Source organism: Homo sapiens, chromosome 10, assembly GCF_000001405.40.
Source record: "Homo sapiens chromosome 10, GRCh38.p14 Primary Assembly".
Classification (NCBI taxonomy): Eukaryota; Metazoa; Chordata; class Mammalia; order Primates; family Hominidae; genus Homo; species Homo sapiens.
Genome location: NC_000010.11, coordinates 125,009,400 through 125,033,933, shown reverse-complemented (window position 1 = coordinate 125,033,933; position 24,534 = coordinate 125,009,400). Strand labels below are relative to the sequence as shown.

The following is a 24,534-nucleotide window of genomic DNA, read 5'->3' as shown; positions in this document are numbered from 1 at the left end:
GCTCCTGCCCCTACCACAGTGAATCGCGCTGTTTCCCACCGCCTGGTTGGTGGTGCCCTGTCTCCATCGATGATTGAGTTGAAACCTCCCACAGTGTGGCCCGGAGCCCCTGGGCCCAGCTGCCCAGGGCTTTACTCTCAGTGCCTGTCCTCTTGGTCCCGGCACCTTTGGGAAAAGAGCATCTCTAGTTTCAGGCCAAGTCAGTGCCTTGAGGGGAGCAGTGCTTGGGGTGGGCAGGGGGAAGGAGTGCCGCGGGGGGAACAGTGCATCCGTAGTCTCCGTGTTTGGAGGAGGCCCCAGGGTAGCCAGACAGCAGCAGACAGCAGCCCGCACGAATGCGGAGAACCTTCTGCGCGCTTCACACAGCTCAACCTAATTGACAGGTATTTGGGGTGACTGTGAACCAGAACCCCAAGATACATTTTGCTGCCGGCTTCTTGCCCTCTCTCCTTTTCCAGAACGTACAGTGTTAAAGCTGTGAAATGAGACTCCTCTCTGATTGGTTTCTACCACTTGGCTCGCTTGCTACTAAAGCTCAGGCACCTTGGCGTGCGCGCTCGAGGGCGTTCCTCTGTCTCTGTCTCATCTCCATCTACAGAGTGACCTCACGTGCCTTTCTCAGCCCTTCCACATCCAGCAGGAGCCTGGCTGAGCACCCCAGCTGGGCTGTGAAGATGCCGAGAGGGGAGAGCATTCTGGGTGTCCAGCGCTGGGGCACAGTGGGATCCCACACTCCCTGTCCCTCCAGCCTGTTTCTCATCACCTGAGGGTTTTGTTTTCCGTGTTCCGGTTGAAGAGATGTCTGTGCCAGGAGGGTTCCTCCCTTCCCATTTGCAACCTGGGATGGGTGACGCAGATTTATCCGAGACTTGGGAGTGAGGCTGAGAGTCAGTTCTTTCGTATCCTAAGAAAGGCTGACCGTCCCATCAAGGCCCGTGTGCTGAAACTGTCCGTGTGCAGGCTCAGGTGGAGCAGGTCTCTGTCAGGCAGCCATTTGTATTTGGGCGGTGGGTGCTTTGCCTAGCTTAGTGCCTACCATGCCCAGGCTTGCAAATGGGGCTGTTTGGGCTTTGATGTGGGCTCAGGCTCAGAGGGCTGAAGTGGTTGTGGGGAGGGGCTTCTGGGGACTGTGTCCATGTCTCTGTCGTTTTTCCCCATCACACCGTACACTCCCTTGAGGCCAGCCGTCCATCACCATTGAGTCATAGTCGACAGTTTGATTTACAGCCCGGGTGTCAAACAAAATGAAAAGCACGTGATGAATGGAGGGAGCACGTGCTGTGGAGGGAGGGGTGCGCTCCGCTCCGCAGGTCAGGGGCTAAGCGGCCATGCCTTGGCCTGTCTCTACAGGCACATGCATGCCCTGGACTATTTTTGGGGTGCCTTTCTCATCTTGAGGAGTGGCAGGTTTTTTGGACTAAGGACAAAGTGACAGAATTGGACTGAGAAAGGTTCATGGGGGAGGGCTCGCTGAGCCAGCCCTGATTAGGAGCATTGCTCACAAAACCAGAGGAAGGACGGCATCCTGGGACCTTCTGATCGCAGGACAGCCGAGGAGACCTCAAACAGTGGAGTGTGATGGGGCGGGTCACCATGGAGGTGAGGTGGAGACTTTGGGAATCTGCAGGAAAAGCTGCTAAAGAGCAGAAGGGGTGGTGTTCATTGAGCACCTACTGTGCGGAGCGTCTTGTGCCGGGTGCTGTCCAGAGCTGAGCACAGCCTCTTGAGGTTGAGTGTGTTCCATTGCTAGAAATGGGAATCCTGACATGGTCCAAGGTGAGGCCTGTCCTGCATCCCAGCTGGGGTCCCGTTGCACACTTTGGCTCCACCAACACTTTCAAAATGGGCAGTGCAAGAGAATGGGCTTGTTTTTTTTTTTCTTTTGAAACCCCATAATGAGTGGTCTAATTTTCATAATGCAGTTCCCAGGAAGCTTTACAATATAGTTAAGAAATTGAGTCAGAAGCAATGTGCAGGCCTTTGTTTTCACTTACCATGGCTAAATACTGAGAGACATGAGGACTGGGGCTTCTTAGGATGCAGCTAATCTGAAAAAGGCTGGGTTGGTTCAGACACTCGACGTCACTCTCCTGACTTCCTTTGGCGCGTTGCGTGGGTGCCCAAGCCTCCGCGCTCCAGGCCCAGAAATTGGTGAGAGCACTCAGTGTGCAAGCAAGGGTGCACGGTGCACTCAGCCCCTTTGATACCTGAAACGATGTCTGGGCAGTTTTGCTAATTGTTGCTGTGTGCTTGCGTGATTTAGACGAAGGCTGCTTTAAAACCCAGCCAGACTTTGTGTTTGCTATGTAACCAGTGCATTTGGTGTGGCCTCCCACCCTTTGCGTTAGATTAGCCAACTTGGCTACTTTGGGTTGAGGACGTTCGGGGGCAGGGGGTAGGGGGTTGATGAGAGGAAAGACTTTTTTTTTTTTTTTTTTTTTTTTTGAAATGGAGTCTTGCTCTGTTGCCCAGGCTGGAATGCAATGGTTCTGTCTCGGCTCACTGCAACCTGCACCTCCCGGGTTCACGCCATTCTCCTGCCTCAGCCTCCCGAGTAGCTGGGATTACAGGCACCCGCCACCACGCCCGGCTAATTTTTGTATTTTTAGTAGAGACAGGGTTTCGCCATGTTGGCCAGGATGGTCTCCATCTCCTGACATCAGGTGATCCGCCCCACTCAGTCTCCCAAAGTGCTGGGATTACAGGCATGAGCCACGGCACCCGGCCCAAGAAAACTTTTTTAATGGCACAAATTCCACAACACTTAACTTGACAGAAGCAGACAAAAATCCAGCACAGGCTGTCCACATTTAAAAGCAGGAAATGGGTATGCCATAGGCCGATTTTTCTGCCCTGTGTCTGCCAGAAAACCGTGTTACCCGCTAACTTCTGCAGCCTCCCTAGGGAAGCGCTCGCTGTGGGAGACGTAGAGGGCACTGTGGTGGCTCCGTCCTGGGATGCAGCAGGCGCTGAAGAGCCTCCTGAGATGTTATTTCCGCTATCACCTTCAGAGCTGCCCTGGCCCTTTGTGTTGGTGGAGGCAGGATCAGGGAATGGAAGCCCAGGCAGGTGCAGGACCCCCCTGGGGAAGCTGTTCCTTAAGTTCCTTCAGTTGGGAACTTAAGTTGCCTCCTGAGAATGAGCTATTCCCTGAGAAGGCCTTGAGACAAACCTGGCAGCCCACCAAGTGGGCGGGTGACAACACAGTTAAGAGGGACACACCATTGAGCCAAATGGCCCTCATGTTACTGCAACCTTCAGACTCACTGATCCCACCTGTTCTTCTTTTTCTATAAAAGTGAGAATTAGACCCCAGAGTCATGTTTTCTCTCTCATTTCAAGCAGTTTCCTGCATGATTATTCCAATGGGAACATGAAATGCTTGTTGGCAGTTTGTCCAAAGACTGCTCCGTCGGAGGGTACCCACTGATCATCCCCATCCTGGCCTCTCTTCCCAGCTCTTCTGGAACTGTCTGGATCCATCTCTGGAATTGTCTGGATCTCTGTAGGTCTCTGTTGTTAATTGACACCTTGTGTCGCACAGGGACTTCAGAATTGGCTTTGGGTGGACATCGCCTCTCTCCCCGACACAGCTATGTTACACAATCATCTTATTTTTACTTGACATAATTTCTATAGTGAGGGTTTTGGCAGAATTAAAAAATTAAGCCCGTGAGATGTATTACTCTAATGGGTCCCATCTCACTTTTAGTCAACATGAGAATTTTTAAGAAAAGCAGTCCTTTCTAAAAGACTGGAGTGTGGTGTGTGTGTGTGTGTGTGTGTGGTGTTTGTGTAACCAGAGTGTTTGGAAAAGTGAGTCCAGTTACAGGTGTTTTTACCTAGCGCAGGAAAACATCTGTCATAATATTTGTCAAATCTCAGAGCCAAGGCTGTGCGAGTTTGGGTGGTTTCCAAGCAGAACAGGTTGAAAGTTGATAGAAATGGAAGCTGGGCCTCCTGGTTCAATGGGAGGCTGATGCTGCCCCAAAGCGCATCTGCCCACATCTGCCCTGCTCCTGCGATCACCCCTTGGACACCAGCTCAGTAACCTCTCTGAAGAATCATTACTGGTTTCTTAGGCGCTACCGGGTAAACATTCTTCTATAGAGCCCTGTTTACATTTGAGAACTTGCTGAGCTGAAAACCAGATAGCAAAGAAGCTGGTGAGTCAACAGAGCTACCTCACCCTGCTACAAAAAAGACTTGGCATGGGGGATTTTCCCGGAATGCTCCAAGTTTATCCACCCATCTTTGAGGGGTGTGCATGCACCATGAGTGGGGTAGCATAGTACTAACACCACATAAGGTCATGTTGTTCATTACAACAAGGGGAGGAAAGAAATTGGCAAGGTGGCTTAATCCTGAGGCGCTGGCCAGGCGCAGTGGCTCATGCCTGTAATCCCAGCACCTTGGGAGGCTGAGGTGGGTGGATCACCTGAGGTCAGGAGTTTGAGACCAGTCTGGCCAACATGGTGAAGTAGATAGAGTAGAGACATGGTAGGCTCTACTAAAAATATAAAAATTAGCTGGGTGTGGTGGTGCACACCTGTAATCCCAGCTACTTGTGAGGCTGAGGCAGGAGAATTGCTTGAACCCAGGAGGCGGAGACTGCAGTGAGCCGAGATCGCGCCATTGCACTCCAGCCTGAGAAACGAGCAAAACTCGGTCTCAAAAAAAAAAAAAAACTGTGTCTCAAAAAAAAAAAATTTAAAGACTGGTATTTCTCTTTAGAAGATTCTAGTAGAGTGCTAGATTGAGAGAGATGTGAGTGAGGAACAGCACTCGGGTTTAATGCTTGCAGGTATGCATGTTGTCTCATTTTAAAGTGCTTTCAATGTATACAGCCTTTGTAGCTTCCTAATCACCGGCTTTTATTTTTGCTATGAATTCTTTGTCATGGGAATCCTGCAGTTGCAGGGCAGGAACCTACCGTGTTAGTCTGGGATGTTGCTTCTCTGGTACTGTTCCATATGTTTAAGGAAATGTCTTAATACTTCGGGGCACTCCTTTATCTAAATAACTGCTGTTCTTTGCATTATTGCGCCTGAAGTCCTTTGTGGACTCTGAAAGCTTAATCCATGTGAATATGGAAAAGCATCTGCAGGATCTAAGCCTGCTGGAATTAGGCTTTTCATCCTGACATACCTAAAGGAAGATGAGATATTCAGATGCAGCCGCTTCCCAGTTCTGCTTTGCAGTGTAAGGTTTAGTCACCCATCCTCCTGTTCCTGTGACCTCTGTTGCAGTCACTTTAAATCCCAGATTACACACGCCCTTCCCTGGCACTCCCCGGCCCCCCGGCAGCATGAGCCCATCTGTGTTTCACAGTAATAAGGTAAAGAATGCATTTGGGCTTGAGCTCGGAAACCTGTTTGATTCACAACCAAAGAGTCGTCTCAAAGCCAGATCTCAGTATTATCAAAGCATCAGGTTTCAGAGCTGGCCCTTTTTTGGGCTAGGCATCCATGGCCTAGGATCACGTGTGGACCTTTTTCTGTTTATCCATGTTTAATTTGTGTTTAGCTGTGCCATGGATTAACGTTTCATCACGGTGGATTAAGAGTGGACTGACATTGAAGCAGCCTTATTTTGCTTCTGTTACCTCTCAGGAATCAGTGGCAGGGGTGGGAACAGCCCCTTCCAGAGGGGGAGGCAGGGTTCATCCTAAAAGTACCCTGGTGCTTGGAAGAGGGAGTATAAACCTGAGCGTCAGTGTGGAAGTAAATCCCAGTTGCAGCTTGGGAGGGCTGGATAGAGCAAGCCACCGGCTTCATCAGTCTAACGAGATGTCACATGGAACAAAGCTTTAGGGTTTTATTTAGCTCCTAATCCGCATGCTGAGAGAGCCCTGGTCCATGTGAGCACACCAGCCAGGAAGGGGGACCTGGCAGGCTGGGGACAGCCTCCTCTCCGGGACTGAGCTGTAAGGAACAGACCTCTCTGGCTATCGTTGGGGAGTGAGGCAAAGTTACCGTGAGTCTTATGTTTTGTCTGCTAAGGTTTCGGAGGATTAATAATTCAGGCCATGCTTTGAAACAGAAAACCCCCAGTTGGTTGTCCCTGCCGTCTCGGAAGGGTTAGCACACAGCCAGGTCTGTTTTTGATGTATGTAATTGAAGATTTATAAAGAAAAGCTTCTCCTCTGCCTCATCCGCAGTCATTTTTTTTCCAATGCCAGTTCCCAGCAGGCATATAAATATTGGTCGTTCTCAGAGCTGGGATGCTGCTGGGTGGTACGAGGGCCCCTGGGAGAACGCCGAGTCCCTGCGGCCTCTGGGGAGGAGAAGCTCCCTGACGTATGGCACAGCAGAGGGGACTTGGTTTGAGCCAAACCACCGACCACAGGACGCTGCCCTGCCCGTGGCCGCCGAGCCCTACCTGTACCGGGAGGCCGTTTATAACTCAGTGGCTGCAAGAAAGGGGTCTACTCCTGACTTCACCTTCTACGACAGCAGACAGGCAGTGATGTCTGGTCGCAGCCCCCTGCTGCCACGGGAGTACTACAGTGATCCGTCTGGAGCTGCTAGGGTACCCAAAGAGCCTCCCCTCTATCGGGACCCAGGAGTCAGCCGGCCGGTCCCCAGCTACGGAGTGCTTGGCAGCAGAACGTCATGGGATCCAATGCAAGGCCGGTCACCTGCCCTGCAGGACGCCGGTCACCTGTACCGGGATCCTGGAGGTAAAATGATCCCTCAGGGGCGGCAGACACAGAGCAGGGCTGCATCTCCCGGGCGGTATGGACGGGAGCAGCCCGACACCAGGTATGGGGCGGAGGTGCCTGCCTACCCCCTCAGCCAGGTCTTCAGCGACATCAGCGAAAGACCCATTGACCCTGCCCCTGCCAGACAGGTGGCCCCGACGTGCCTGGTTGTGGACCCCAGTTCAGCTGCTGCCCCCGAAGGCAGCACAGGGGTGGCCCCAGGGGCCCTGAATCGTGGCTACGGGCCTGCCCGGGAAAGCATCCCATCCAAGATGGCTTACGAGACTTACGAAGCTGACCTGTCCACCTTCCAGGGTCCTGGTGGCAAGAGGACCGTGCTCCCTGAGTTCCTGGCCTTTCTGCGGGCGGAGGGGCTGGCAGAGGCCACGCTGGGAGCCCTACTGCAGCAGGGCTTTGACTCCCCGGCCGTCCTGGCTACCCTGGAGGACGCGGATATCAAGTCTGTCGCACCCAACCTGGGCCAGGCCCGTGTTCTGAGCCGCCTGGCCAATAGCTGCAGGACCGAAATGCAGCTGCGGAGGCAGGACCGGGGGGGCCCGCTGCCCCGGGCGCGGTCCAGCAGCTTCAGCCACCGAAGCGAACTGCTCCATGGTGACTTGGCTTCTCTGGGCGCTGCGGCTCCTCTGCAGACAGCATCCCCCCGAGCTGGAGACCCGGCTCGCCGTCCCTCCAGCGCACCATCTCAGCACCTCCTGGAGACGGCAGCCACCTATTCTGCCCCTGGCGTGGGCACCCATGCCCCACACTTCCCCTCCAACTCCGGGTACAGCTCTCCCACCCCTTGCGCCCTGACAGCGCGTCTGAGCCCCACGTACCCCCTGCAGGCAGGGGTGGCCTTGACTAACCCGGGCCCCTCAAACCCCCTTCACCCAGGCCCCAGAACAGCCTACTCCACGGCATACACGGTGCCCATGGAGCTGCTAAAGAGGGAGCGCAACGTGGCCGCCTCTCCGCTGCCCAGCCCTCACGGCAGCCCCCAGGTCTTGCGGAAGCCAGGTGCACCCCTGGGGCCATCCACCCTGCCGCCGGCCAGCCAGAGCCTCCACACGCCTCACTCACCGTACCAGAAGGTGGCCCGGCGCACAGGGGCACCCATCATCGTGTCCACCATGCTTGCACCAGAACCAAGTAATACATCCTCCCCGCCTGCCCTGCCTGGGGACCTGGGGGGAGCAGGGGGGTGCGGGGTTGTAGAAGTTTGAACATAGGATGGCAAGTCCTCACTCACCAGGCCACACACACACACACCACCAAACAAGAAGGACGCAGCACTGTGGCCAGTTGACACGGCTTCTCTTAAGTTAATCAGATTTGTGTGTCAGGCCAGATCTGCTGGGGCAGCAGTGCCCTCCTGTTCTTTAGTTGAGGTCGGGTTGATGTGTAGATTTCCCATTACGGTGGTAAAACTCAACTGTGTTTCTTGGAGAAAGTCGCAAGTCACTCAGAACAGACTGCAGCCTTGAGCTCACGAGGGGTGGCCCTTTCTGTAGTTCACACTAGGGAACTTTGGAGAAGGCAGGAACGTTTCATCAAATGCTGGCTGTAAAGTGTGCATCCTCCATTTAGAAGGGCGTGATCGTGTGGAAACGTACCTCTCACGGGTCCGCACGCCGTATCAGAGGCAGTGATTACCCACCGTGGAGATGAAAATGTGTGTGTTTGCATACTTGTGGGTTAAACAAAGCAAGATGTTGAAATCCCTCAGAACTCAGTTTCAAAAACAGATTTAGTCTCTCATATCAGAAAATACAGTTGGGAATTCCGCGTGCTTGAAGGGAAGGATATATTTCCAAGTCCAGGAAAGGGAGAGTGATGGTAGGTGGTTTTCTTCACAACATGTGCCAGGTGTGATTTATGGCGTGTGTTTCCTTGGACATTGTGGATGAAGTCCTAGGTGGGCGTCCTCAGAGCACCATTTACAATTTTTATTTTAACTCTAGAGTCTTGACCACAAATTTAAAATGTAAATCAGTTTTCTTCCTTTCAAACATAATTCTTTCCTCCCCGCCAGCCTCCCCTACGTCATTCAGAAAACAGAATCCTTTTCAAATGATTTTTTTTTTTCCTGAATAGCTTGTGAAAATCAGGATGAAACAATAAGATCTACCTTTTTGAAAATAGCCCTGAAGCAGCTGTAGGCGGGGACCGAGGCGCTGGACCTCACAACCCTGCAGAGACCACCTTAAGTTTCTCTGCCATCGCTGTGTGGCCCGTGTGTGCTATTAATATTACCTCCTAGAGATGACCTCCAGGCATTTTGCATTTTGTTTCCAAGTGGAGACTGAGCAACTGGCCTGATTTTCTGCTTTGTCGTATAGATTCTGATTTTGTCTCATGGATTTTTTTGAAGTCTGATCACATCATTATTTGACTTTCTCAAATACATGTGCGGCAGGAGGGACGTCAGATAATTTTTCCGAGGGCCTGTGCCTGCTCTCTCAGTCAAACATTCTTTCTTTGCAACCAACTGATTTGCATGGCGATGACATTTGTTGCTCCAGTAATTTCATCTGATAATGGCCGGGCTTGCAAAGCGGATCTGAAAACATATTCCTTAATTATGTGTTGCTAAGTGACAGGAGGGTTTGGTCATAATCACAGAAAGATTATCTCCTCACCCAAGTCGTGGAAAGGTTTTGCCGAAGGAGGAACCTGTAAGATTGCCTTTTCTTTTCTTTTCTTTTTCCTGTTTATTTTAGACTTGCCTTTTAACAAAAACATTCGCCATTATTTGGGTATGGAGTGAGGGGTATTATATAAGTTGTTTGCAGTGTGATTGCTAACACGATGTTTTACAGACCGGAGGATATTGATTTTTACTTAATTTGCGTGGCAGCGAGCCAGTGCCAGGGAAGTCTGCAGGCAGAAGCCAGCCAGCAAATCAAATGTCTCTGTTAAATGATCCACCCCATAGCTGCAGTTTCCCTCCTCATTCCTTATCGTATGCTGATTGTGGCATTATCCCCCACACCCTGTCGGGAAGGGGGCAGGGGCTGGCGTCCCTGGTAGCGCTTCAGCTGTGTACATGGCTGTACGTTTTGTACAGTAGGTTCCACAGAATCCGCAGTCACATTTGGATCTGTCGGAGCCAGCAGGGAAAGTAGACGGTGTGTGTGTGGAGGATAATGTTGACATTTCAGGAAAGCACAGGCTGGGCAGTCCCGCCGGCCTCTGGTCCAGGACGCGGCCATCTGGAAATCCAGTGTTGCTTGTTTGGGACGCCGCCAGCCTGAACGCATCTTCGTTCTGGTGCCGCCTAACTCAAGTGCTTCCCTCCCATCGGAGGGACAAGGAACGCCCTTCTGGAAGTTGACTCTCTTCTCCCCTTCGGGATGGGCGGTGTTGCACTGCTTATAGTGGGGTGGTTTGGGGTTTGGGGATTGTTTTCAGTATCTATTTTATTTTCGGATGCTTTGGCTATTTTTAATGTATGTTTGCTTTTTCTCAGTCCACGAACTACCTGCCTTATCTTGGTGGGTTTTGTGCATACACACAATAGGCTCCTATTTCTAGTCCAGTTTGCTGGCCAAGCAGTCCAGAGTGACAACGTGAGGAAGGCGTATGCTGCGGGGACCCCAGTGCGGCCCACCAGCCCCGGTGACACAGACAAATGGGGGCTCCAGGCCCGCGTGAGTGGCAGCACCTGGCAGGTGGTGGGGTCGGCTGTCGCTCTCAGGCTGACCTGGCCGGCTATGGCACAAGTCGCGGAGCCCTCCGGCGGTGGCTGCGAGCCAGCAATCTCCCCGTGTCACGTGCTGTCACCCGAGCCCTGCCTGCACCAGATGCAGCAGGGATCATCAGAAACAACGAACGAATGGGGCTGCGGCCATTTTCATATCTTTGTCTTCACAAAATACAGCCAAGCCTGCAGCCTGCACAGGGCTCAGCTCAGGACACACCCTGGGGGCAAAGTTTCAGATGTGAGAAACGCAGTCCCAGCCCAAAGAGCCACAAAAAGATCTTTCTGAGCTTTTTCCATTTTCTTCCAGCCGTTTTTCTTGATGCAACTGGATTAATGGGGGCACATGTGACCCCTGTCTAGTTGCTTAGGGTCACTGCCTGAGGACTCCAGGATGGAGGGAGGAGCGCGTGGTCTGTGTGGAGGGGCTGTTGAGGAGGCTGATGGTTGTGACAGTTACCTGTCACCAGAGCTGGTCACTCTCATGGCTTCTTTTCGTGTGGCCTCGGTTTCCAGCAACTGGAGGTGTGAACGCTGATCTCCTAGGTAGAAAGCACCTCCATCAATAATTTTAGCCCTATCAGAATCTGTATAGAGGGTCGCCGCCATCGGCCCACACCCCTGCTGCTGAGTCCTCAAGCAGCCTTGCCTCTTGTTTGAGACTCCTCTGCACCTTGAGGTCTGTCCTGGGGCAGAGGACGCACTGCTCTTGAGGGTCTTGACCCTTAAACCTTCGGCAGGCTTCCCCCATCTCAGAGCACAAGGACATTTGGGGGTGAGGTCCAGGGGCTGTGACCCCAGGCTGGCCCTGCAGACCAGCAGAGGGATGAGTCCAGCCCTTCCTGTGTGCTGGCCATGCAGTCCAGCCAGAGAGAGTTGTAAGGGAGCAAGGAAACCTCTTCCGGGCTGCCCCCAGGACCCCTGAGTCCTGGACACAGACCACTGCCCTGGGCAGAGCCCAGCGTGAGCTTAGAGGCTTGTTCACTTCTTCCTTCCTTCCTCATTGACCTGTCCCCTGCTGTTCCTTCCTTCCTTCCTCATTGACCTGTACCCCTGCTGTTCTTCCTTCTTTCCATCCTTCCTCATTGACCTGTCCCCTGCTATGTGCCAGGCCTGTGGCCAGATGTTTGGGGCTCCCAGGTGGGCAAGACCCAAGGCTTGTGTTTAGGTGCTCTCTGGTCTGGGGGCCAGGAAAGGCAATTCATAAAAGGACAGTTAACTGTGACTATGTATAGCAGGCACCAAGATGGGGCCTGTGGAGCACCTGGAGCTCCAGGGCTTCTTGGCCACTCCTATGCTTGGAAGAGCGTCCCTACAGCGCATGTGTGTGCACCGGCAGGGAAGCAGGAGAAGGGCAGAGCTCAGCACCGCAGCCAGACTGGGGCCAGGGGAGAGGCCACCGCCCAGGCCGGCGTGGGGCAGATGGAAGTGTGTGCGTGAGCTGTCGTGTGCAAGGGCAGCTAAGGGCCTGACTGGTGTTTTGAGACTCCCTGTGGCGTCTCTTTTCTTGCAGAGTAATCTATGCCTGCGTAGTAAAAACATTCCAGCATTGTGGAGCCACATAGCCAGGACTCTGCCCCTACCCCAGCCTGGTAGAGCAAGAACCTCGGCATGGCCTCCCTTCCAAATCCAAGAGCAGCTGAACGGTTCCCAGGTGCTGACAGCTCAGCCTTTTCTAGCAAAACATTGAACACACCCGACATCAGTGAGCTCTGCGGGCCTTCCGTTTGGCTTTTGTACTTGATCAGTCATTGGGTTTCATGGCCCGGTGTTCCCTGCATTCAGTGTGCCCCTGGGCAAGTCACCTGCTACTGGCCTCTGTGCCTCTGAGGCCCTGGTTGTGACTGATGCCTGACCTCCTGAGACTCCCAGCCCTTCTTGTGACCTCGCCAGATCACCCTCCGCCTTCATGGCAGAACAGCAGTGATCATCCCTCCTGCCCGTTGCTGCCCTGAAGTATTCGCATCTTGGTTGTGCCCCCTTACCAGACTGAACTCAGCGAGTGCCTGAACCTGGCCTCACCCTTTGTTCATGGAGCTCATTCTGCTAGGCTAGACTGGGTTTCTTGGTCCCCTTTCAGGCTCCTGGACGTGCCGTAGACCCCAGGAATATGATTTCAGCCCAGGAGCATAAAGTAGTTGAATGCATGGCCCGAAGGAGTGCCACCTGCTTTGTGTTTGGGCAAGTATGTTGAGTTCTCTGTGCTTCTATTTCCATGTCTGTCAAAGGGGGTAGGTCTTGAACCTGTTTCCTCTGCTTCTGGGAGAGCAGTGAGCAGAGAAGGAAGAGAGGGCTTGTGTGTTGAGGTTGGAGCTGCCTGGCCTCAGCGGGGAATGGCGCTTTTCTTGTCGTGGTTGACCCTTGGCCTCTTCTCACACTGGACTACTGAGGCCCTCGGGGTCTCAGGGGCCAAACTTGTCCCCCAGCTCTGCCGCCTTCACAGCACTTCCTCTGACCCCGTGGGTGTGGATTTCATTCTGTCCATGGAGGACGTGGGGTGAGCCATGCCGGGACAACTAGACAGCGGCCAAGCTGCTGAAGAAGGCCCTGCTGTGGTCCTCAGTTTTGTGCAAAGACTGCTCTCCTAGGCCTCTGTCTTGTTAAAGCTTAGTGGGCCTTTTTTCAAAAGTGAGTATCTGGGAATTTCTGTAAGCCCACCTTGCATAGAGTGTGTCCCCCTCGACAGCGCAGACCCCCTCCACACTGGTGGGTGGGTGATCTGACCAGGAGTCTGGCCAGAGAGTAACGTGGATGCTTGGTGTCAGCTGGCTGGGGTCGTGAGTCTCAGGCCTTGTGCGTAACAGGCTGGGCTCCTCGCCGCATCTGGAGAGCTCCAAGGGGGAAGAGGTCGACAAATGATTTCTGCCGGGCGTGGTGCAGGACTCAGAGCAGGTGGTGAATGAGGTCGGCGCTTGCTGTTGGTTTAAAGGGATTGACCCGTGTTTTCATGGGAGGCCATGTCAGCCAAGACTGCTGCTGGGACCTTGGCCAGCTCTGCCCGCGTTCCAGTCACCAGACCCTCTTCTGTCTGTCTCCACAAGGCCCGCGTTGACTGACCTCCTCATGTCTACAGGGGCGTTCTGTCTTCCTGGTTTAGAAAGCAGTTCCACATGGAGTAGGGAGGTCTTGGCCAGCGGACCCTCTGCTTTCCAGGAAGCAGGTCATGGGGCCATAGCTTCAGTTTCTAGATAATAGTTTTGTGTGGCTGTGCTGTCCCCATCCCATCCCCCCAACCCCCACCCAGTGCTGTGAGAACCACATCACACCTGGAACTCTGTGCATGGCCAAGCTCAGGGCCTCCTAAACCCCTCCAGGGATTGTTGCTCCTCTGAAATCTTTAAAAGCTGTTGATCTTGGCCAAGGTATGGTTCCTATTTTCCTGGAAGGTTTGCGGAGCCAAGGGCATAAGTACCTGAGCAGATTCCACAGACCAGGTGAGTGGCCCCATGTTCACCTGGCCATAAAAACAACCAATGGGCCCCTACGCTATTTTGCTTTAACTCTACTTTCAAATGTGGCCTTTGCTCTTGAGTGTCCAGTGTCCATCCTGGGGCTCCACAAGTCACATTTCAGCTCTGTCAACCTCAGTGCTTGAGTTGAGGGTCTTCCTGGGTCATGGGGCCCAGGCTTTTTGGTGTCAGGCACACAGTTTGGAAATAGTTCTCCCCCATTCTGTGGTTGTTTTTTCAATTTCTTGATAGTGTCCTTGAAGCATGAAAGTTTTAATTTGGAGTCTTACGTATTTGCTTATGCCGTTGGTGTGACATCTAAGAAACCATTGCTTAATCGAGGGTCATGAAGATATATTCTTATGTTGTCCTCCAGGAATGTTAGTTTTAGCTCTGACATTGAGGTCTTGATCTGCTTTGAGTAAAGTTCTGCATATGGTGTGAGGTAGGGGTCCCATTCAGCCAGTTGTCCCAGTGTTTGCTTTGTGCTTTGCAGAAGCTGAGCTGTGGAGAGCTGGGCTGGGTAGAGCAAAATTAGAGCTTCACGCCAGACTTCTTGCATTTGGAAACTAACATTCTAAGGAAGAAAGACGTGGTTTTTTTTTTTAAGTGAGAAAGCCAACATATATTAACAGGAAAGCTTTTCAGGTGTTTGGCACAAATTTATTTACCCCCAAGAACATACGAAGCCAGAATTCTAAAGCTTTTTCACAGATTCCTTGCTCATACGTGGGAGAGGTTTTTTTGGTAAGTTTATGAAAGAGAAATAGTACTTGTAATCCATAACTAATTAGCCCACGTTAGCGATGTAGAAACGAGTGTGATTAAACGTGCAGTTGTCAGGTGTGTGTTTCCCACTCTGAGGCTGGCTTCAACAAAGGGCTTTCTAGTTGTTTTTTACATAAAGGATAAAAAAACTAGCCTTCGTTCACTTTTCTTGCCCCCTCCAGTGGGAGGGAGGAACTGCTGAAGGAACAGGAAGGTACACTGTAGTTAAATTTAGCCCAACAGCAGCTTTCAGCATGTGAATAAAACAACTTTTGCCAAATTGTTAGGAGAGCAAAAAATCCAACCTAGAAACACCCGTCCCCACTGACAGAGTGGGCGGCCCCCTGGGACATGTTCTCCTGAGAGCCATGGAGAAATTCATCCCAGGAGGGTTTGCAAATGTCAATGGGACATGGGGCAGCCTGTGGCTGAGTTAGCACCCTGGGTGTGCTTCACCAGAAGGGGCAAGAGTAGGAACCCTGATTCCTGGTCCCCCAATGCAGTTGTGTGGGATGCCAGTGGCGTTGGCGGGGAGCGCGTCCTGCAATACCAGCTAGATATGAACACGGTGCCTCCGCAGGGCTGGTGGGGTGCACCTACCCCAGGTGGCCCATGGAATGTGCCTCTTGCCCCTTTGCCAGGGCCGAGGTAGGGGAAACCAGCCTTGAGAGAATCTAGGGCCCTGACTGAGTTCAGTAAATATTAGTAATTGTCACTATTGTGGAGTTTGTTTGTTTGTTTGTTTGTTTGTTTGTTTGTTGGTTGGTTTGGTTTGGTCTGGTGCTTTTTTTGGTTTTTGGTTTTTGGTTTGTTTTTGTTTTTTTGAGACAGAGTCTTGCTCTGTCACCCAGGCTGGAGTGCAGTGGAACAATCTCGGCTCACTGCAACCTCTGCTTCCCAAGAAGCTGAGACCACAGGTGCCCACTACCATACCTGGTTAATTTTTGTATTAGTAGAGATGGGATTTCTCCATGTTGGCCAGGCTGGTCTCAAACTCCTGACCTCAGGTGATCCCCCCGCCTCAGCCTCCCAAAGTGTTGGGATTACAGGCGTGAGCCACTGCACCTGGCCTATTGTGGAGCATTTGACAAGGATGATCCCCCATCTGAAATCCCAGGAAGACTCTGGACATTTTTCCTCTGACAGACTCAGAGAGGTTCACCCCCTACCCTGAGTCCCACAGCAGGGGGTGGCCCATGCCATGATGATCCTCAGGCACGGTGCATTAGCACAGCAAGGGAAAATCAACAATGGTATACACTTGGGGAGGAGACACCAGTCCGAGCTGGAAGCCAAGGTCTGTGTCAGCAAGAGGAAACAGGACAAAGTGGCTGGGCTCTGGAGCAAGAGTCATGACGGGCTCTGGAGCAGCAGTCATCATGATGGGCTCTGAGGCTCGCTTCCCATGGGTAACACTGGGGTGATGGTGCCCACCCTACCTGCCCCCCACGGCTCTGAGAACCGCATCACACCGGAGCTGTGTGCATGGCAAGCTCAGGGTCCCCAGCTGGCTCCACGAGCACCTGCTGGTGTTTGCCTGGCTCCAGCTGCTGCCCTCAAGACCATGCTGCATCTGAGCTGCTCCGACTGCGGGGCCAAACTCCTTGCCCTGGATCATGCTGCTGCCTGGGAGAGTTCAGGGAATTAATTCTCCCAGTGAAGAGCAAATGCCATTCTTTTGTGTGATTAAATGGAATGTAAAATGTTCTTTGGTCATAAGAGGATTTAAGCTGGCTGTTGGGAACAGCTGTAACACACACAAGGGTAAAGTTTTAATAAATGGAAAAGTAAATGTAGGAAAAGGTGAGGGAGGGTGGTAGGGCCGGAACACAGCATCCCGTGCAATCCTGTACACAAGGATAGGTGGGAATTCTGCTCTGAGCTTCCTAGCAACCAAAGAAAGAGGGAAACTGATCACATAGAAGAATCACACTGCATGTAAGATGGGACCGATGAACCCGTTGCTCAGAAGCAGAGGTGAGTTTCTCCTGCCTTTATCGCCTCTCCAAAGAAGCGGCATCAGCGCTGGTTTGCAGTTTGCTTTCTGGCATTACCTCCCTGCTCCTCAGCCTGCACCTTCCTCCGCTACCCGTCGACAGCCTCCTGCGTGTCACCTTCTGATTTCACCAGGGCCTCATCCTGGTTGAAGTTGTTAAGCTCTTCTTGCACTTTGGCTGGATACAGTCAGCTGTTCTTTGGCGCTGACTTCCCCCGGGGTTCCTACCTCCTCTTCTGGCCCTGCCTCATTAAGGGATTGCATTAAGGGATTTTTCGTGGTGGAAGGAAGCTCTGCCTGCGGAACTGAATGTTGGCACCAACTGCCCAGCGCAGGCCAGTCCATTCCCCTTCCATCCACAGTGCTTAGAGCTGACCTCTGGCCTCTCAACCCAACACGTTTCCCCACTGGGGATTTGCCTATTAGATGCTTTTTATATGAAGGAATAAATATGCCTTTGTGATGGGTTCTAGTGTTTTCCTGTAAACTGGGCTCTGAGCCTGGGATGCTGTAGAAGTTACTAGATTTTAAGAAAAAGTTAGAGAAGAAAGAAGAGTGGAGGCGGCATCCAGCCAGCTGTTGTGCTGAGAATGTTCACTTCCTGGCTGTGAGCTGGGCCTGGGCGCAGCGCTCTTGGCCCTTGGCCTGCCGGACAGCAGTCCTCGCGGATCACTTTCCTCTTGGGTTTTAGGACCACTCGAAAAACGAGAGTGTGCTGCAAGCATGAGGCTTCTCCCTCTCCCATCTCAGCCTTGGCTGCCATAGCTAAGGAGGAGGGTGTTATTTTGCTTTTGTGGACATTCACCCTGGGAAATAAGGTGAGAAAATTAAGACTGGGTCTGCCAGGCTACAGGCTACTCAGGGTCCTTTTGCGGGAGGACGTGTTGTTCATTTCTCTGGAACACTGGTGGAATTGGTCCATCTGATTCCAAGGGACAAGCCAGCAGCCAGGGCGGCCATCCAGAGGGCTCCTGGTCCCGGCACTCATGGGCAGCCATCCCCTCGGGCAGTGACTCAGTGGTGGCCCCTGGAACTTGGCAGTGGCACTCGGCTCGCTGCAGGTTCATGGAACATCCAGGGCGTTTGCCCTCCTGGTTGCTGCTACTTCCTGTACCTTGGAGGAAAAGTCCCTTGGGGCACTGGGAAGGGTGGGCGGGGCCTCATGGCCTTCCTCAGCCTGATCGGGACCCACCAAAGGGTCCCAGACCCCAGTCTCACTGCACCCTGACCATCCCCTTCCCCGTCACCCCGGGTGGTGCCAGAGCCTTTTTGTGAGGTGCAGGGATCCGGGTACCCAGCGCACAGTAGGCGTTCTCAAACTTTCACACAGTGAGAAGTCAGACTGAGCCATCCATCTCTGGGTTGCCTGTGGCCTTTTTAGATTCCTGCAGAATCTCACCCAGCCCCGTGTGTGTCCACACTGGACACGCTGCCAGCCCAGCACCCAGCCTCTTGTGCGGCCGGCGAGTGAGTGTGCAGCAGCTGGCCGCTCTGCCAGATTCCTCTGGCAACAATTCGTACTTTTCTCTTCTCTATTTTCCCTTATTTTTCTCAAACATCCCCTTCTGTTGTTGTCAGGGGCACATTTTTAGAACTTGAGAGCTGTTCACCCAACACCTCCACCAGCGGTATCCACACAGCGGGCGGGCGAGGCGCCTTCTTGGAAGTGCTTCGGGGAGCACTGAGGCCAGCCCATCCCTCCTCAGCCTCGAGCCAGAGGGAGTCCTCTAGGGTTTGGGCTGCATGGGCTTCCGGGACGCCCTCCCAACTGCAAGACCGGGAGTGGACGGAGGGAGCCCTGGGAGCCCGGCTGTGGCCCCAGCGAGGCAGGGGAGGATGGCCAGGCCACACCAGGGACCGCACAGCAAAGGCTCTGTTTCAAAAACAGACGTCACGTTTCCTGCTTGTGGCCTGTGGGGTTGTCACTGATTTTTTGCATTGATATGAAAACCAGCAGTGCTTCTTTTCCATCTGGGCCATGGCTCTTCTGGGGACAGTGCAGGACTCGAAGAGAAGCTAATGGCCTTGCTTGGGTGGGGATGACTAGTTTTTTCTTTTGTGTTGGTCACTTGCTGGCAAGCGGGTTTTCCCACCTCACTGGCTGGTTGTCCAGCAGCGTGAATCCGCTGCCTGAGAAGTGAGTCTCCAAACAATCACAGCGGGACTGACCACGCAGGTTTCCCCATTACTGCGCTATGAAGCTCCCTCGGGCTCCGGTCACTCAGACCTAATGTCGAGGAACGTGGAGCACATTTTTTTCCTCTACCCAAGGAAGCAGATGTGTGGTAGCTGGTAAACATCCTCCACACCGCAGAGTATCTTCTAGGAAAACTGCCTGGTACGGGGAGCTTGGGTTGACGAACGCTCACTTTTCTTGGTTTTTATTCGCTTGGAGGTGAGATCTGATGATTGGCCCTTCTCTCTGGTTATTGCTGAAAAGGACAGAAGGGCGTCCCTGCCGGCCAAGGCGGCTGCTGGTGGCTCAACCTGGAGAGCCTGGATTCTGAGCAGCCGTGGTCACTGGTCTTGTCCACCACGGCTCAGAACTGGGTGAAACTCAGCTCCCCAAACTCATTCTTCCCGAGACTTTAGGGGAAGTGCTTCCTTCCAAGTCAGTGCTTTCTGGAGGGCTGGTGTTCCCGTCTCGGCAAGTTCTGCCTGGCCAGAGGCCTACGGGCTCAGGCATCTGAGGCACAGGGCATTTGGGCCATTTGCCAGGAGGCCGCCAAGAGGTTGCTCCCCGTAAGGAAGGTCAACCTCGTGTGCATTGAATCTTGCATTAACCCTCTTAGAGGCCAGTGTTAAGGGCCAAGTTGACATAGATCCATTTCTTGGATCAGGTGTTTGTTTTTTCAGTTAATTTTTTAGAGCCAAGTCTCACTCTGTCACCCAGGCTGAAGTGCAGTGGCACACTCATAGCTCACTGCAGCCTTGAACTCCTGGGCTCAAGGGATCCACCTGCCTCAGCCTCCTAAGTAGCTGGGACTACAGGCACGTGGCACCACGCCCAGTAAATTTTGTAGAGATGGGATTTCACTGTGTCGTCCAGGTTAGGACAAGGTTTCTTATCACCGGGGCCATGAATGCCTGCTGGGCCAATAGGACACCGTGAGGAGGACCGTGTGTCCCTGCATCCAGCTTGGGGAGTGGGGCCAGCACACACGTGTTACTATCCTGTGGCGTCTCGGTCTTGCTTGGATGTGCCCTTCTGTTCTCCGCCGTTCTGATAACAGTTACCATGATGACGTCTCTTTTAGGCTGCAAGATCTAGAGAGACACCCGGGTGGGAAGAGCGCATGCCTCACGTGAGAAGCCTCAGGCCCTTGGTTCTTGATTTTGTGTGCCTGGTTGATAGATCGAACAATCACATTCCTGCAGTAAAAGAGAGAGAACTTTAAGACCTACCTCAGCCTGCCGAGGCAAGATCACCTGTCTGTTTCCTAGGGCCAGGCCTGATGATGTCTGTCTTTCCAGTGTCCAGAGCTTGTTGAGTTGAACCAATCCAGCAGGTGGTTTGCACTGCGGTGGACCCTGGGGTTGCATGCTTGGTCTCTGGTGTCAGAGAGACCTGAGTTTGAGTCCTGACTCCATCACTTACTTGCTGTGTGACCCCGGGCAAGTTCCCCCCGCCTCCGTTACCTGCTGGGGAAACAGCAGCGCCTACGGCACAGGGTTGTGTGGAGGGTGCAAGAGAAGTGGCCGTGACCATCCTTCTAAATGGGACAGGCTGTATTCCATGGTCATGATGCTCAGCATATGGTATAAGGAGCTAACTGTTTACCATCCCTTTGTTACCAGAAACTTGACTCCCTGTGTGTTTGGGTTCTTGGTGCATAGGTGATTTTATTGCTGCAATAAAGTATTGAAAACCAATTAAGTAAAAGAGGCTGACGGCAGCGGTGCCCGCACGAGACTATTTTACAACTTCGGGCGTTTCCAGTCTCAGGTATTTCCCCAGCTTCCAGGCACATCCTGGGAAAGTCTAGTCTGTGTCTAATTACTGTGGCACAGAATGCACCCTGCCCACATGGGATATGTAAAGTAGGGGTATCCCAGGCGGCCCCTTGGCTACAGGCAGCTGGTTTTCATTACAGGTGAGGCTGAGCAGATGGTGGGCATTCTTGGTGGTCTTTCCAACAGGCTCCAGACCACCTCACAACTCGGAGCTTGGGCCTTTGAACTGAGAATCTCATAGTTTAGGAGCTGTGGGCTGGAACCACATGCTGGCAGCTGCCACCCTCGAGACAGAAGGCCCATCGCCATAGTCATAGCATTCTTTGCTGCTGGCTGGCAGCTTGGAGAGGCGAGGTGGGCACCTCCCAAGGAGGAATGAGTTAGGTGGACCAGCCAGTCCTGGTTTTGACGACTGAGTTCACCAGGGTGAACAGATAGTCATATGGGAGCCCCTTTTTGTCCTTGGCAGGTTTGTGCTTCTTTTGGCCGGGCGCGGTGGCTCATGCCTGTAATCCCAGCACTTTGGGAGGCCGAGGCGGGCGGATCACCTGAGTTCAGAAGTTTGAGACCTGCTTGGCCAACTTGGTGAAACCCCATCTGGAAGGCTGAGGCAGGAGAATCACGTGAGCCCAGGAGGCGGAGGTTGCAGTGAGCCGAGATCGCGCCACTGCACTCCAGCCTGGACAACAGCGTGAGACTCCATCTCAAAACAACAACAACAACAATTTTTAGTCTTTGGCGATGCCCTGAGGCTCATCTCTTCCACAGAGGCTTGGAGGATCGGCCACACGAGTGGGGTATGCAGAGGCACAGGCAGGTGGGGGAGTGAGAACCCCAGGGCGCATCTGACCTTGGCGTGCCGGCAGGAAGAGAACAAGCAGTCCTCCTGGAAGATTCCACCAGAACTGTTTATTGGACAGGGGACTCAGACGATGTGTGTCCCCAGCCACAGTGGTGGCTGAGAGTGTCCCTATCCTGTGCATGAGATCCTGACCACCCGTCCCTGCAGGGACCGTCCCCGTGTTGGGAAGCAGGAGGGTATGTCGCAGAGCCTCACCCAGTGGGAGCCACAATCCTTATTCCTTGCTCCTCAGGCTTGGATGTTGCTCCGGCTTCTATCCCCCACATCCTGTCCTCCCTCCCGGAGCCCAGGGACCACCCATGTGAGGCTGGGCCACTGGGGAAATCTCGCACACGTAGCGCGTCTCACCAGAAATAGAAGCAGAGCCTCACGTCCTTGGCTGCTTCGCTGTGGGAATGCCTTCTAAGGCGCCGTTTTTGGTGATGTCCCTTCACGGATCTTTCAGGCCCAGTGAGTCAGCAGTGTCTGCATTCACACAGGCTGGGTGGGGTTGTTGGATCTGCCCCGGGTGGATGGCACCTGCTCCCTCAGGGCAAAAATTCACCCCAGAACATGAGCTGCACCCGGGGTTAGGTGAAGGTGACGGAGCCTGAACACTCAACACCAGAGGCAGCCAACAGGACGGTGTCTGGGCTTCCAAAAAGCCACCAGTGCCTAAAAACACTTTCAAGCACCTAACATCACTCTTGGTTTTGTTTTTATTTTAAACTCCATTACAAACCGGGAAATAGCTGTCACTTTCCTGTGTTCTGGGCCCGCTGTGCTCCTCCGTTCCGCATAGCGCGGACACTGCAGGGTGCGGGCTGCAGCTTCCCCAGGGGCTCTGAGGAACCCGTTGAAGTGACTGCACGTGCTTGTCTTTCTAGGGTTGCAGATGAGCTTCGTTTTCAGGGGGGTTTGTATTTTGTGTTTTTTCTGAACTTGATGGTGTGGGTCTGGACATCTCTTTCCAACCCTGGAAGATACCACACATGCTCTTCGTTATTAACATGATCACCCAGAAAGCTTTTGGGGGCCTGAGAACATGGCCCAGGCTCTGGGGAGCATCAGACTGCACCTGACTGGCTGGATAAAGACAGGGGTACCTGGAGCCTCCTGCCTCGCCAGCTCTGTGTCCAGCTGTCACCTGAGCTACAAGGGAGATTACCTGGGAGCCTCTCATGTGTCACATCGTGACTCATTCAGATACATGTTTTATTTAAGAAGCAAATCTATTTATCAGGGTGTTCCTGTGGCCATTTCTTCACCAAACCTCCAGCTGACTTTGCAGAGAATGCCAAACTCAGAAGCCGAGGAGTAGCTTAAAACTAGGTTCCCCATGGGGCACATCCAGCCTTCTGGGGAGCCCACTTGGTGTGGGGCACCCCAAACAGCACAGCCCCTGGGTGCTCAGAGGCCTTGGTGAAGCTAGATTTCCCAACACTCGATTTTTTCCCTCCTTACAGAAAAGCAGGGGGAACTTGAGGGATAATTCACATGAAACCTTTGCCATAAACCCTTTTAAATTGTTCACAAGTAAGAGCCCAACTTTGGAAGATTAAGATCCTGGCGTTTTTAGTGTGAGGAGTGGGCTGGCTGAATATGCTGCAGATTGTGAGCTTTTTCCTACCTGGTTGTACCTCACTGGAGGAAAAATAAGGATAATCCCTATAGCTGCTAAGGATGTACACGGTGATGGCACAGCCATCACCGCTTTCTAAGTTTAGAAGGTGTGCTTCATGCTTTAAATTCCCCGGCACTCATTTTGTACCACGCTGCTCTCTCATTCTCTCCTCATGCTGTCTTCCAGTGCCTGGTTCAGGCCAGTCCTTGTCCAAGGTTGAGTTAAATCATTTTCAGCTGGGCCAGGTCTTCAACAGCTTGGTGTGTGTGATGCCACTCCAGGGCTGAGGTCCTGGCTTCAGGAAGAATGTGGGGATCGATTAGTGATGTCTGCCATGAATGCAGAAAGAGAGATAAGGGTTGCGCATTTGCATTGCATGGTGGGAGGAGGAGTGTGCACATGAGCCAGGGAATCTGTTGGGCGTGTCAGGTGATACTTAAAACTCAAGGATTGGGTTCTCCATTCTGGGGGAGCACATACTACCTATACATTACTGAGACTGTAAAATGAAATCGCAGCCTCTGGGAAGCTGGGCAAAGAAGTGGACGCAGCATTGGGAGAGCTTCCCAGAAGCAACACAGAGAGAAAGCCCATTTGCCAAATGAAAAAGCAGATAACAACGTAGAAACAAAGCTGAGATTTCCAATAGCAGTTGCTTTTTTTTTTTTTTTTTTTTTTTAACCTTAAAATAGTGCCACTCTTAGCAACACAGATTTTCTTCCAAATTATGCCTTGAAGCTGCTCCCGGAGCCACCCGCTCATCAGCACCCTGCTCCTGTGGTCCTTCTCGTGAAAGGCAGAGGGGAGATGCCTGTTGCCCGCAGTCTTCTCTGCAGCTGCCGTGGGAACAGGCACCTTCCCGGCTGCTGGGGACACAAGGAGGGGGAGTCACCGTGGCTTGCTCACTTTCCAGATCAGCCAACTGCAGAACATTTGTTGTTGTTTAGATCCCACGTCTGACGGTTTAGAACAGCTTTTATAACATGGTTAAACATGTTTACAAAGCAAGGGAGACATCTCTTACCTTGACAACACGAGGCTCCCACAGACCGCCTTCCCCCACTCAGAGCTCCACAGCCCTGTGTGCTGGGCTGGCCTGTAGACCCACTGAGGCAGCTGTGTTTACAAGTCTAACGCCAAGTGTCTGAGAGGCACTTGCGTACGTCCCAGCATCAGAATCTGGCCCCCAGCTTGGCCCTGTCACGATTTTCAGTTTTATGTTGTAGAAACCCAAGCCTCTGAAATAACACTGTTAGCAGGCCTTAGTTCTGATTCTGTGTCTGGCTTTCTAGAAATCAGGTCTGCTGAGCTCAGCCAGTGGGGATCGGGTCATGCTGGATTGCAGAAAGCGGCCACTTAATTGGGGAGCAGGCCGCATTTAAGAGGAAGCTTTTCTGAGGGTGGTGGGATCGGTGGGATATTAAGTGGGGCTTCCTTGGAGGCAGGCGGGGCCTCAGGTTCGGCTGTGTTGGGTCACTCCCTGTCCCGCCCCGGCCTCT

At 52.9% G+C, this 24,534-nt stretch overlaps 1 protein-coding gene and 1 non-coding gene across 29 annotated transcripts in view, besides 1 other annotated feature; both read left to right on the top strand.

The window, feature by feature from the left end:
* The window catches only part of CTBP2 (C-terminal binding protein 2), a 178,147-nt gene that overhangs the window by 128,530 nt on the left and 25,083 nt on the right, over positions 1-24,534 (top strand). The window contains exon 1 of one of the 28 annotated variants that reach the window (NM_022802.3): positions 5,863-7,852. The exons of the other annotated variants lie outside the window; for them this stretch is intronic. Coding sequence (NP_073713.2) covers positions 6,175-7,852 — 1,678 coding nt within the window. The 5' untranslated portion in view covers positions 5,863-6,174. Of the gene's footprint in view, positions 1-5,862; positions 7,853-24,534 lie in introns of those variants that run through there. 28 annotated transcript variants of the gene reach the window in all.
* Positions 1,064-1,151, top strand: MIR4296 (microRNA 4296). Its single transcript, NR_036178.1, has one exon. It is a non-coding gene; the product is annotated as a microRNA 4296 (primary transcript).
* Positions 6,564-7,106: an enhancer, noted in NCBI's record as "H3K27ac-H3K4me1 hESC enhancer chr10:126715397-126715939 (GRCh37/hg19 assembly coordinates)". NCBI's record gives its function as "activates a minimal SCP1, AML or CMV promoter by ChIP-STARR-seq in naive H9 embryonic stem cells {active_cell/tissue: H9 hESC(naive)}" and the evidence as "EXISTENCE:reporter gene assay evidence [ECO:0000049][PMID:30033119]".